Source organism: Homo sapiens, chromosome 6 (genome assembly GCF_000001405.40).
Source record: "Homo sapiens chromosome 6, GRCh38.p14 Primary Assembly".
Taxonomy (NCBI): Eukaryota; Metazoa; Chordata; class Mammalia; order Primates; family Hominidae; genus Homo; species Homo sapiens.
Genome location: NC_000006.12, coordinates 38,985,230 through 38,998,966, shown reverse-complemented (window position 1 = coordinate 38,998,966; position 13,737 = coordinate 38,985,230). Strand labels below are relative to the sequence as shown.

The 13,737-nt window shown below is 42.2% G+C and overlaps 1 protein-coding gene across 7 annotated transcripts in view; it reads right to left on the bottom strand.

Moving 5' to 3' along the window:
- The window catches only part of DNAH8 (dynein axonemal heavy chain 8), a 315,482-nt gene that overhangs the window by 31,826 nt on the left and 269,919 nt on the right, over positions 1-13,737 (bottom strand). For 6 of the 7 annotated variants that reach the window (XR_926078.3, NM_001206927.2, XM_011514319.3 and 3 more), the window contains one exon: positions 8,795-8,955. Coding sequence is in view for 6 of the 7 variants with exons in the window: in NM_001206927.2 (NP_001193856.1) it covers positions 8,795-8,955 (161 nt within the window). In the remaining variant the exon portion in view is untranslated. Of the gene's footprint in view, positions 1-7,000; positions 8,127-8,794; positions 8,956-13,737 lie in introns of those variants that run through there. The other variant, XM_017010325.2, reaches the window with a different exon arrangement.

Genomic DNA, 13,737 nt, shown 5'->3' with positions numbered 1-13,737 from the left:
GATATGAAAGGCAGAAGCCTAGTTAGCTAGCTATAACAGAGAATTGCAAATCTCTCTATATGCCACAAAAGCCCAAGGGCTTTCAGGAGAACAGTCCTCATAAATGCTCTGAGATGAAGAACAAGAGCTATAATATTCCTTGAGGGTTGGTTCTAAGTTATTTCTTGAAGAAAATTTCTCTTTAGAGTAAATATGGGAAGAAGCTCAGATTGCCCTTGTAGCTTGGTGGTTCTGGGAAGTCAGGGTCATGGATAATAGAAATGCAAAACAACTGAAAAACAGAGCTGTCTATGAAATAAACAACTACCTAATGAGATATTAGTGCACCATAATATCCAAATCAGTCTAGATTTACATACGTCTTTGCACATGAAATATCAATGAGCATAAATTTTTCAAAAAATCTAAATCTCAAAAGTGTCCTCAAATACTCAAGGGAATACATTTCAATTTGTATTGCATTGAAATGAATATAAAGGTTGTAATAAGGCATTTGATAAATTTCAGAAAGTAAAGAAACATGCATAACCACTGATGAGAAAAAGAGTGAAAATAAGCAACCATTTTTGACATTGAAAGAGTTGAATTTGCAGAGTCTTTGGTACCTTATAAATCTACATAATAAAATGTGAATAAACTGTGTATTTTCATGGTTCTTATCACTATGCTATCTAAACTCTTGAGAGAGATTTTACTTATTTTAAAGCATTTATTCACCTTGATTTCCCCCTCCACTTCAGAGATTCTGCATTCTTATGCAAGGACTGAGGAGAGAGACTTGTGATTCGCCCTGCCCAAATCTCCCTCTTCTCTCAAATTTATGGATGCTAACTTCAGAGTGAAGATTCCAATAAACAGGGGGCATCGAGTTCTCCATCATGGCCCAATTATAGCCTATCATCAAGTGATGGCTGGGCACCGTGGCTCATGCCTATAATCCCAGCATTTTGGAAAGCCAAGGTGGGTGGATCACTTGAGGTCAGGAGTTCGAGACCAGCCTGGCCAACATGGTGAAACCCTGTCTCTACTAAAAATACAAATATTAGCCGGGCCTGGTGGCACATGCCTGTAGTTCCAGCTATTCGGGAGGCTGAGACATGAGAACCGCTTGAGCCTGGGAGGCGGAGGTTGCAGTGAGCTGAGATCGCACCACTGCACTCCAGCTTGGGCAACAGGGTAAGACTATCTCAAAACAAAACAAAAAACAACAAACAAACAAAAAGAAGCAAGAATGCTGTTGAACACCATGGATGGTCAGATAAATTAATGATTCCTCTGGCTGGGGACATTCACACAGACTTAGCCAGCATATCTTAGAGAGTCTTCTCTCATGGCTGAAGCTGTTATCTCTGCACACATGCATTCAAATCTTTCACCTGGGCTCCAGTCCATATTTCTCACCCCATTCATTTATATCCCATGTTCTTTCCCAGCTCAACATGCCCCCAACAGAACTCTGTAACTTCTCCTCCAACATACTCCTGTTCCCAACTCCTCCACTACCCCAGCTCCCAGACAAGCAATGTCAGGGCATCTTTGACCCCTTCTTTCATTTCACTCAGAACTTGGAGAGTTACATCTTGCTGGAGCTGGGTGAGGACCAGAGGTGGGTTTCAGCTGGGATGCTTCATCTGTTATTGCTTACTGCTTCCTGGTGGCCGGTGGGGGAACAGCAAGGGGCGTAGAGAAGTCCTTGAAGAAGGCAAGCTCACTTGCCAGGATTCCATCCACCAGATATTTCAGAGCCAGAGGAAAGAAGAATCAAACCTAGGTACTCAGAGACCAAAAAAATTACCAAACACAGAGCTGCAGAACAGAGCCAACCACCTGAGCAGGAACCAGAAATGGGCTAAGACATGCTGGGGAAAGGGGATCAGGGGTGGGTGAGAGAGACCCCAAGGCAGACCATATGGGAAGTTAAGGATGAAGAGAGAACAGAGGAGGACGAAGGTCTTACAGGCCTGCCAGTTGCTCTAGTGGATATACTCCCCCATTTTAGGCAGGGGTCCAGGGCCTTCTACCTGACCTCACTAGTGTGGTGAAAGGTTGCAAGATCCTGACACTATTTTGGGAGAAGCTCGCTTACGGCATCCTACAGCATGCATGCCAGCAACACCATGTGGGCTTCTGGACAAAGCTGTGAAGAGAGACTTGACAAAACACAGAAGGCTCACCGTGTCCTCTCTAACACACCAGTTTGCAGCAAGAAACAGATTAACAGCTACAGAAGAAGGTTCTCAGCCATTGCTCTGCATTCGCTAAGTCCTATCAGTCCCCCCTTGAGACCTGTCCTGCAGCTTCACTCCACCCCATGATCATCCCTATTCTAGGCCTGCATCCTCACACACCTGGACTTACCCACAGGGTACCCGAGGTGTCGATTAGTCATCATGGGTGCTCTAGATGAGCCTTGTCACATGGCAGAGAGCTTGTCTTTTATTCTAACTGCTGTAGGAAGCCATTTAGATGGAGGAGAAGTAGATGGAGGAGATTCAGTTTGGGGCTTTTAAAGGTCAAGCTGTCTGAAAGACATGCCAGTGGATGTCACATAGAAATTGTATAAATGACTGTGGAGCACAGAGGAAAGGTCTAGACAACATATATGTGGCATATTGATGTTTTAAAGGCCATTGGCATAGATGAGCTCTACTCAGGAGGGAAGGTGGACATGACTATAAAAGAGGTTAAAATGTGAGTAGAACATAGGCCATAGATTTATAGGCATGTGAAGGGAAGGGAAGGCTCTTTAAAGCATGAGAGATACTAGATCACACTGCTACCTGGACCATACACTGAAGGGTGATGCTATTAAAGTCATGCTTTGCAGCCTTTTGCATTTTGCAACAAATTTTGTTACTCTGTCACAGTGTGATTTTGCCACTGAGGACTGAGAACCTGCTAAGCCGGACAGCAGGAGAACCCTGTGAAGAGGAGCCTCTGGCTCTGGTGAAGTGTTCATCTGTGTCAATACTAAGTTCCTTCTTAGTATTAAGTAAGTATAACCACCATATAACAGTATAACCACTGTTTCTCAGTGGTTTCTCTGGGATGTGTTGGCAACACCATAGTGAAGTGGTTGAACAGAGCTGCCTCGATAGATTATATTAAGAAGGCTAGTACATTCCTTTAGGAGAGGCACGAGAGTGGCTTCAAGTTGTCATCAGATTTCAGACCAAGGTCTACAGAGCTAGTGTTATGTCCACACTTCTGTAACAATTTTATTGAATGGGTTGGACTCAGTATAGGGTAAGGAAGAAGTGATTTCATTCTTTACCACATTGTACTGAGTCCAGCTTATTAGACCAGATTAAAGACTAGTTTGCATGTCTTTGTGAAAATAAATACGAAAACCTAGATGAAACAAATAATTTCCTAGGAGAACACAACTGACAAAATATTGACTGCAGTGGTGACAGAGAAATACGAAAGATATCAAAGAACTAGCACTGAGCCCAGATGGTTTCACAGGAGAATTCTACCAAACTTTAAAGCATCCAATACTACATAAATTGTTCCAGAGCTTAGAAAAACTTCCACATTTTTACAAAGCAAATATAACATTGATTAGTAATTAAACCTGATAAAGATGCCACAAAAAACTCCAGGCCATTCTTATTTATGAATATCAATGCAAAATTCCCCAATGAACCATTAATAGAGTATATCACTACCTTAGGAGAATAATACCTCCGAACCCAGTGGTATTAATTTCAGATTATCTGTAGAAAATTTGAGTTAGGAAATCCATTAATATAATTCACTAACTTTTTAGGTGTTTAGGGGAAAATCATGTGATTCTTTCCATAAATGTTGAAAGGTATTCAACAAAATTCAACACCAATTTCTGACAACAATAGAGAAACACACATGCAACAATAGCTAGGACAAGCTCAGAAAAAAAAAAAAAGAGCAATGAGGGGAGACTATAACTATCAGATAATAAAACATACTGGAGACTAGCTAAACTTAAAACAGACTGCTACAAAATAGAAAGGAAAACAGAATAGAAAGCCCAGAAATGGACCCGAGTACCTATGGAAGGAAATTCTATGTTAAAGGAAGCAGGAGGCCAAGGCTGGCGGATCACGTGTGGTCAAGAGCTCAAGACCAGCCTGGTCAACATGGTGAAACCCCTTCCCTACTAAAATACAAAAATTTGCCAGGCATGGTGGCATGTACCTGTAATCCCATCTACTCAGGAGGCTGAGGCAGGAGAATCACTTGAACCCAGGAGGTGGTTGCAGTGAGCCGAGATCATGCCACAGCACTCCAGCCTGGGCAACAGAGCATGACTCCGGCTCAAAAAAAAAAAAAAAAGAAAAAAAAAGTCACTGGTGATAGGATAACTGGATTGCTATTCTGAAAAAGAATTTCATCCATACTTATACCTAATAGGTAAATTCCTAATGGATAAAAGAACTAAATGTAAAAACGTGAAACCATACAAGCACTAAAAAAAAAAAAAATGTAGATGATTCCTTTATACCCTGATGAGGGAAGAAGCTTTCTTACTATTACTAAAAATCCAGATGTAACAACAGCAAGAACAGAATTTATGTAGTCATAAATTTGACTGCATAAAAATAAAACGAAACGACAATAACACTTCTACCTGATCAATGGGGGAAAATCACAAGCAACGCTAAATAAGCTGAGAAAAATATTTGCAATCCACATCACAAACAAAGGGTTGTTATCCCTAACATATAAATAAGTCCTAAAATTAAATAAAAAGAATAAAAACTCCATTGGAAAGGAATGGACAGACTATATATAAATAGCCCTTAAGTATATGAAAATTTTCTCAATTTCACTCAAAATAAGAGAAGTGAACTAAAACTATGCTGAGATAACATTTCTCACTGTCATATTGGTGAAGGTTCAAATGCCTCACCAGCGCTCTGTTGATGAGATTCTGAAAAAATGGGCACTCACAGACTGCAAGTAAAAGTACAAAACAGTATAACCCTATGTAAGGGAATTTGACAATATTCGCTAAATCTTGATCTAGCAATCCCACCCATAACAATTTACCCTGAAAATACATCTCTAATAATATGAGAGTCCACAAGCATAAAGTTATTAATGGAAGAATTATTTGAGATAGGAAAATATTGGAAGCAACCTAAATGCCCATACATAGGCAAATGGTTGAACAACTATGATCCATATAAACAATGGAGCAGCATGCAGCTGTAAAAAAAAATATGAGGAAGATAATAATGACCTGATATGAAGTGATTTACAGGATACATTGTTAAGAGAAAAAAGCAAGACACAACACAATAGATATAGTTTGGCAACTTTGTATAAGAAAGGGTAATAACAATATGTATATATGTATGTACATGCAAAAAGAAACACAGAGAAGATAAACCAGAAACTGTGTTTGTTTACCCATAAAAGAAGAGGGAAATGGGTTGAAAGGGTCTGAGACTTCTCTAAGAACAACTTAAAGTTGTAACTTTTGAACCATGTTCATATTTTACATATTCAAAACAATAGCATATGTGGGGGAAAAAAACCCTTAAATGTAATACAAACAGAAACAAATAAACATAACTATATATCAGTTGATAGCATAACCACACAGAAAAAAAAATCATTAATCCAAGTGACCTTTGAACACAGTACTCTTTATACCTAGTGGAATATATCCTAAGGACAAAAAGAACTGCAAAGAAATCTTGACCTCTACTTAATAGGTTTGTTGCTGGTAGTGGTATTGGCATAGTAATTGCAAGTAAATGAATACACATATTGAAGTTGCTGGGAACCAGAGTTTTTACGGTGGGAGAAAGGAGATATCAATATGGAATGGGGGAAGACAAAGAACAACCCTGAGGTATACAACTGGAATTGGAGTTATTTGTATTAACTCATGATGTTTTTAAAAGTACATGCTTCCTAGCTCTATCCACTGAGAGGGCACACAAACACACACACAGAGAAATATATGTGATTATACATAGATATAGCTGTAGATACATAAGCATACAGAGATATAAATATAGAAGGAGAAAAAGCAAATGGATCAAAACATGAACAATTGTTGGATCTCGATGGAGCGTATGAATGTTTACTGTATGTGCAACTTTTCTGAGAGTTTGTAATCATTCCAAATAAAAAGTCAAGGAAAAAATGGTTTGTCTTTGTCTTTGTCTCCAATTGCTTTTACATTTGCGTTGTACTTCTCTGGACCTTTTCTAGCCCTGTTTCATCTTTCTTGAGAGCTGGTGAGTGAAACAGCCTGCAGTGAACAAGGCCTAGGTGCACCATCACCCTGGGTGAGGGTGAAATGGTTTCATCTTGTTGGGATCCTGTGGATTATCCAGGAACCAGCTCTCGTGACTCCCCAGTCTCTTGTCAAGGATGGAATTAAAGTTCAGAGCCCTCATATGAGAACATTTTCAGTCACAAATTTGCAAGTGCATTAAGACTTATCAGTTCTTTCTCTGTCCACTCACGTGAACTTGTGGGATCTTTCTATGGAATCTCCTCATTGATCACATCCTTCACACTCTAGAAGAATTTAGCAGCACTGATCAGTCAACAAATACTTCCTGAGCCCCAGGCACTGCTATAGCACAAGGGATGCAGCAGTGAAAACACACACAAAAGTTTCAGGTGTAGTGGAACTTATGGTTTAGTGGTGGTTGTTGGACAATAACAAATCAGTAATTAAAGTGTAAAGTATGAGGCTGGGTGCGGTGGCTCACACCTGTAATCCCAACACTTTGGGAGGCCGAGGTGGGCGGATCACCTGAGGCTAGGGAGTTTGAGACCAGCCTGACCAATATGGAGAAACCCTGTCTCTACTAAAAAATACAAAAATTAGCCAGGCGTGGTGGTGCATGCCTGTAATCTCAGCTACTCGGGAGGCTGAGGCAGGAGAATCGCTTGAACCTGAGAGGCGGAGATTGTGGTGAGCCAAGATCGTGCCATTGCACTCCAGCCTGGGCAACAAGAGCGAAATTCCGTGGCAAAAAAAAAAAAGTGTAGAGTATGTCAGTGGGTGATACAAACTATAGAGAAGAGCAGGTCAGGAGGACAAGGTCTTGGGCAGGGTTTGGGGAGTGGGTTGCAATCTTTAAATAGCACAGCCAGGGAAGGCATCATTGAAAAGGCTACATCTAAGCAAAGACTAGAAGAGGTAAAAGTGAGCCACTGTGATATCTAGGAGGAGGGAGGTTCCAGGGAGTGCAAGTATCCTGTGGCAGGTGCTGTCTGGCCTGTCTGAGTAACAGGAAGCTGTCTGGCCTGAGTAACAGGAGCTGAGTGGGCACGAAGGTGGGAGAGGACTGAAAGAGCCAGGGTGGGGAGGTAGAGGGCAGTGGCACTATTTGACTTTGTAGGTCATCTGTATGTAGGTCACTGTCGGTCTTTGACCTTGTCTCAGAGTGTCACGGGAACCTTGGGAGGATTCTGAGCAGGGGTTGATGTGGTCTGACTCACATTTTTAAAGTCTCAGCTAAAGCAAAACTACTTTCCTATGCTCCTCTTTCATAAAACGTTAAGAGTTGATTGTCAATCCAATCCCTGAGGAATCCTTTTTATTTCTTCACTTCTTTCCCATCCCCAGATAACTTATGAAAGCCTCCTTAGATAACAGCAAGAGCTGCCACTAACGAACCTTCGTGGTTCCATCATGGGGGTGGAATGAAGCATTGGCATTTGTAGGTATTTTCAATCATGTCCGCATCTTTGAAGATGAAAAGCAGCCTGGGCGAGATGAGAGGATATGAAGAAGGTGGAATCAAGGTGGGTGTAAAGAGGCCAAAAGTGCATCCTCATGCAGGGAGCTAGGAGGGTGGTCAGAGGCGGGAAGACAAGGAAATTGGCAGCAAACTGGGACTCCTGGGACATCTGGCAAGGCCAGGGAAATGTCCATGTCCAAACCCAGAGAATTATTAAAATTACAACAGTAGGCCAGGGACTAGGAGAGAGGAATGCCCCACTCTTAGGGCATTCTCAACTTAGAATCTGCCAGAGGAGTCTTGGTTTCTTCCACTTCCTGAAACCATTTTCCTGAATGTAAACCTTGTGACTTTTCATCAGGGGGCTGCAGAGGACATGCGGTCCATTCCAAAGGATTCCAGTTCAGGTGCTTGGGTTTGGTAGGGATCCTAAAGAGAGAAGGGGTGACACCTCATGCCAAGGGGCTTGGAACTGGGGAGCATTTCTTCTCTAGGTGATGAGTGGAGCAGGGACCTCACGCAAAGCTGAGCCCCTCCACTCTTTCCTCCCGGGGCTGTGCATCTGTGTCGGGTACTCAAGTGCTCACCGCACTGCACCCACCACAGGCAGTGCATGACAAAAGGATGCAGATGAGCAAGTGAGGGAGAGGGGCCATGAAAGAGAGGACCAGGCAGAAATACGATTCTTCACCCTCCCATCTGTTCTCACCTGGCTTTTTAGATTCTATTTATGAGCATTATATTCTTAATGAATTTTTGAAGAAAGAGATGAGGAGCTGGCAGACCACTCTTCTGCCGGCGGAGAGCACTGCTACCACTAACACCAACTCGTTTTATGACATGACAGAGAAGAAATAATCAATGCATAAATTAGAGCTTAACGTTGTCATAAACACTGGAGCATCAGGATTTAGTGAGAGGAGAGCAGGCCAAGATATGACAAAGTTGTAATTGGGAGACAGGAAGCGACACTATTTTTCACAGTAAAATAAAAAAAGGGGGAAAGGAGAGAGATTAGGAGAGAAAATGAAATGCACCATCTTTGCCAGACTGAGTTACAAATGACCCCTTCAAATTAAAAAATGCCAGGGACTTACGTGATATCAGCATTAGGGTGAAGCCCAAAGACTTCAGGGTTATCTAGGGATGGCAGTGACTGGATGTATTCAAAATACTGGTCTAAGGTTTTGCATAAGGGGATTTTATATCCAGTATAAAAGCAGAATGACGGTTCAAACATCTTCTCACTGAACCAGACCTGTATGTGAGAGAAAACAAAAGAAATAAAATTGATGAGCATCTAAATGAAAACTGCTACAAGAAAGGAGAGGGGCCACCTTATTTCCATTTTAACAGAGTTTTTAATATTGATTTTGAGAATGCTTTAACAATACTACTGATAGAATAATTACCACATATATGGAGAAAAGAGAGAGTCCAGAACACAATTTGACCTGGCCTCCATTTAACACCAAAGAAGATATTCACCAAGAGTAAGGAAGAGAGCAACTCTACATGCCCATTCTCTGATTGAGTCATTTGACAACCCTCAATTCCATTTTAGGAATAGGAACATACTGCAAAGTCTGTGAGGCCATACTCCCACACACAAGAGAATATCTGGGCATTTTCATCACCCCACTTCTCCCCGACATGGGGCTCATACCAGAAGGATGTGCTTGTGCGCAGTTTCACTCACACAGCAATGAGCCCCAGCACACGGCCAGGAGAGCTCCATGCAAACTCTCCCCTCCCACCTTGAGTTGAAGAGCTTCCTTTGCTAATTATGTCCCTGTCCACATGAAGTAAATGTATTCAGCTGCCTTGCTGTTTGCCTTAAGACATCCCTTTCTTATTCCATATGAATTATCTTTAACAAAACAGTGAGAGAACAAATATATAGTTGGTGTGAATAGACTTATTCTCAGAAAGGAAAAAAAAATGATGCTAAATGCCTATGAGCCAGATTTGAGGCAATGACTTACGTCTCACAGCAATTTTCCCAGTGGGGAAGGAAATAATGGGAAGACAGGAAGAGTGGAAATGCAGGCACGACGTCTGAATTACTCGGAGCACTTGACAGGAAAGAGGGACGGTGCCTTCCTCTGGTTGGTCACACGTTCTCTAGTACCTTCCCTCCATCTCCTTCCTCCAGCTCTTTTTAGATCCAGTGATTGCTCTGAAATACCCTGTGTACTGATTCTCTCTGTTTTATCCTATTCAACTCCTATGCATGAGCAGGCTGAGTTTAGAACCAGAACAGAATGCAAAGATAAGAGACACACAGTCCTTTCTTTCAAGGAGCTTGTGACCCAGCGGAGGGATGAGCCAATTACTTAATAACCACAATACAAAGTGCACTAAGGCAAGAGTCAGAAGGAAATAAAAATAAGCAAAGTACTAAAGAGGTTTAAAGCAGGAACAAAAAACATCCAGGTGGATGTCAGCTGAGGTCTTCTCAAGGAGGTGATTTTTGGAGCTAAGCCTTGAAGGAGAGGAGTTTGACCGGAGAACTTGGAATGGGGAGGCCACATAAGCAAAGTTATAGAACTGATGCAAAAATGAGAAGCAGGTTAAGGGAATAATGGAATATAGGGTGGACACAATGTAGTCATAAGAGATAGGACAGGAAAAGTGAGGTGAGGTCATATCATGGATGACTATTGATGTCAGGGTGAGGACTGGTGATTAATTCAAGAAATGGAGAGTAGTTGAAAGTTATTAAAGAGAATAGTGTTATGAGCATGGTCATTACTTAGAAATATTAGATTTTTCACGACGTGGATGACTTAAATTGCAGGAAGACACCCTAAGGGGGCAAAGGCCCTGGGTCCTCAGCACACAGATAACAAATAACCACACTGAATTCTGTGTTGTCAGATGACATGTATGTATAAGACCAAAATGAAGTTTCTTACTATTTTCCCAGCACTTTATACACATACAAATAGCTGAGTTTCACCAAATTTGGAGGCTATTTGGGGGCAAAGTCAAAATATGAAATATGAAATCTACATGGAGCTACTTTGTGAGCGGTCATACCCCATGAACATCCAATACAGTTCTGCAATCGCTTTTAGCAGAGAGACTCTGTAAGATGCTGAGAACAGAGAAAACAAGGTTCAAAGACAAGCCCGAGATTGAAAGTCAGAGGGACAGAGGATGCCATGTGCAGGCGTGAGTTTACAGTGGAGCTGCTTCTCCCATGGGCAACTCTGGATGACATGGTTAGGGTAAAGTGGAGGTAGTGCAGGCAGGTGGCTGGTCAGAAGGCAAGCCTGGGGCTGAGGATGAGATCAAACAGGTGAAGGCAGGGTGTGGGGGCTGTGAGGCTTTTGTGCAGCCTTTCTCAAGAGGGTTGCTGCTGCCAGGTTCATGTGGTAAGCTCATGCCCTTAGGGCCAGAGACCCAAACTCACCTCTGGTTATTGATGACCATCTGAAACAGGTCCAAGCTAGACAGAGAAATGAATGAGGGAAAGCAACAAGACAGGAGGTTGGAGAGGATGTAGGGCAAAGAGAAGATTCAGTAGGATAAGGAAGTGGGGTGGCCAACAGTCAGAGAATTGAAGCCACTGAAGGTTGTGCCACTCTTAGGGAAGTCCTGAGAGAGGGGGAGGGAATGAGCCCACAGAAGCCACTCAGGGGCAAATGAATGGGAAAATAGTAAGATGAACTTTTGACTTAAGGCACTAATTGCTGAGAATGGAGTCCAGAGAAACCAGAATCAGATGATAGAAGGGAGTAAAATAACTCAGGTGAGGAGGGAGCTGCTGTTACTTGGGAACAGCCAATGAACTGGGGCCTGGATATGGAACCCTGTGCTTTTAGATCAGGAAGTCTGCACATCCCAGGCCCAGAGGACAGAGAATCTTGGGTTTCTAGGAGAGGGTTGAAGTCAGCTCACTAGTCCTCTGTGGCCCAAAATGCCAAATGTCAGGGTACAGGGAAGAAGTAGAAGAGGAAGAAAGGCAGGAGAGGGGTCAGAGAGGGGAATCCCCCTGCTTGAGCTCTTGAAGGTGGAGCAGGCTGAGACAGCGACACTTCTTCCTCCCCCTCCGTGTGCTCCCGGCTCAGACATCTCCCTGGAGGCTCTGGACCAACACAGCAGCTTTCCGTTGCCACTGTCTACATGCTGAAGAATTCCAGATCCTTATCTCCATGCCTGAGCTCCACCATGACCTCCGGATCTGTACATCCAGGTGCCTTGTTCACCTGCATTCATGCATTCGTTCTTCTATTCAACAAATATTTACTGAGCACTTAGATGTGTTGGGCTCTGTTTCTGGTGCTCAGAGTTTGGCACTGATGTAATAAGACAAAGTCCCTGCCCTCATGGCAGTTACAGTCTGAGACAACTTGATTTGGATGTCTAATAGACATCTCAAATGTTATATGATCAAAACCAAACTCTTAATTTCCAGCCCCAGCCAATAAAACTCTTCCCTGCTGCAGCCCTTCCTCTTGTCTGTAAATAGCCCCATTCTGTGTCCAGTGGCTTAAGTCAAAACTAGGGATGACCTTGACTCCCCTCTTCTTTCACCCACGCACTTGATCCCATCAGCATTCTGCTGTTACTCTTGGTGAATTATATTCTGAAGCTAACCACATCTTAGTCTCTGCTGCTAAAACTCCAATTTTAGATACTTTTACAATTATTCTAACAAAGTATACTTATTAAGACATCTTTTTTTTTCTCCTTTGAATCTCAAATACAGAGGTCAGTTTCTCACACTCCCGAGTTTATTATTTTTATGAATCTAGGCCCCTTTTATTTTAATTTTTCCCCATTCTGCCCTGATATCCATTCACTGTCTCCTTTTCCCTCTGAGGGCATCTATTTAAGTGTACTTGATATATGTCCTAGAACATGTATTTATCCTTGTGAACTATGCATATATTCCTTTATAGATCTCACTTTACTTTTTTTTAAAGCTCTGCACTCAACACTGTTTGTAAGACCTATGCATGATGTCGTATAGATCATTGCTTCTAAGTGCTGCATTATATGCCACCATAGGCCTCTACAACAGGTAACTTAACTATTTCCCCATGATGGATTCCTAAGTTGCCTTCAACTTCCCACTACCACCAACAATGCTATGAATAATCTATTTGGTACATTCTGAGAATTTCTCTGGGACATATACTCAGGAGCAGGATTCTGGTTCAGAAGGTAGTCGTATCACACACTTGATATGACTATGACTAACAGGTTGCACCCCACAAGGGTGAGCAATAGTATGCCATGGTGCTCACCCACCACATCTTATCTATTCTCTTAGGAGTCTTAGGTTTTTGTAGTGGATGCTATGATGTGCCACTCGATCCTCTTTCAGGAGCAGGTACTCACTCCCCACCGCTGTCTGGAGTGTTGGCTACTGTGGACTCACAGCATTGTCCCTCCCCAGGAACTGCCCTAGCAGGAGGCAGCTGCTTCAGCCAAGGTCATGTCTTGCAGGAAGGCTGGGGAGGAGGCACTTGAATGCAAATCTCCACCTCTGCTTCCAGGAAAACCATCTATGATGCTTGCCTTCAGCTCCACACACAATGTTGCCATGAATATTTTTGTACATGTCCATTTGTGGACTCTTTCTAGAAATGTTCTGAGATATGTCTACCTGAGATACCTAATTTCAGTAAGTATTACTGGACTGCTTTCCAGGAGGTCTGTGTCCATTTGACCTCCCAGCAGCAGGGCTCCTCCCTCCGCACATTCTCACCAACACTTATTATTTTTCACAGTTCTCCATATGTAGCTTCAAGAAAAACTTGCTAAAACAAGTAAAGGTTAAAAATCCGTTTTCTAGTCAACCCCCAGCTTATCAAAATACTCCCAAAGCTTGTGCTTTGTTGTTGAGGCTTTAATTTTGTCAAGAAAAAAGAATCATTTAAGTAGAGAATTACCGGTATAGGTTCCAATATAAAGAATTTAATAACCATAAAAGACATCTGGTTTTTTCTCACTTAGGTGTTATATATTACTTCCCTAAAATGTAAAACATTTTAAGAAGAGTTTGAGTCTGGTAGGTGTTATTTAT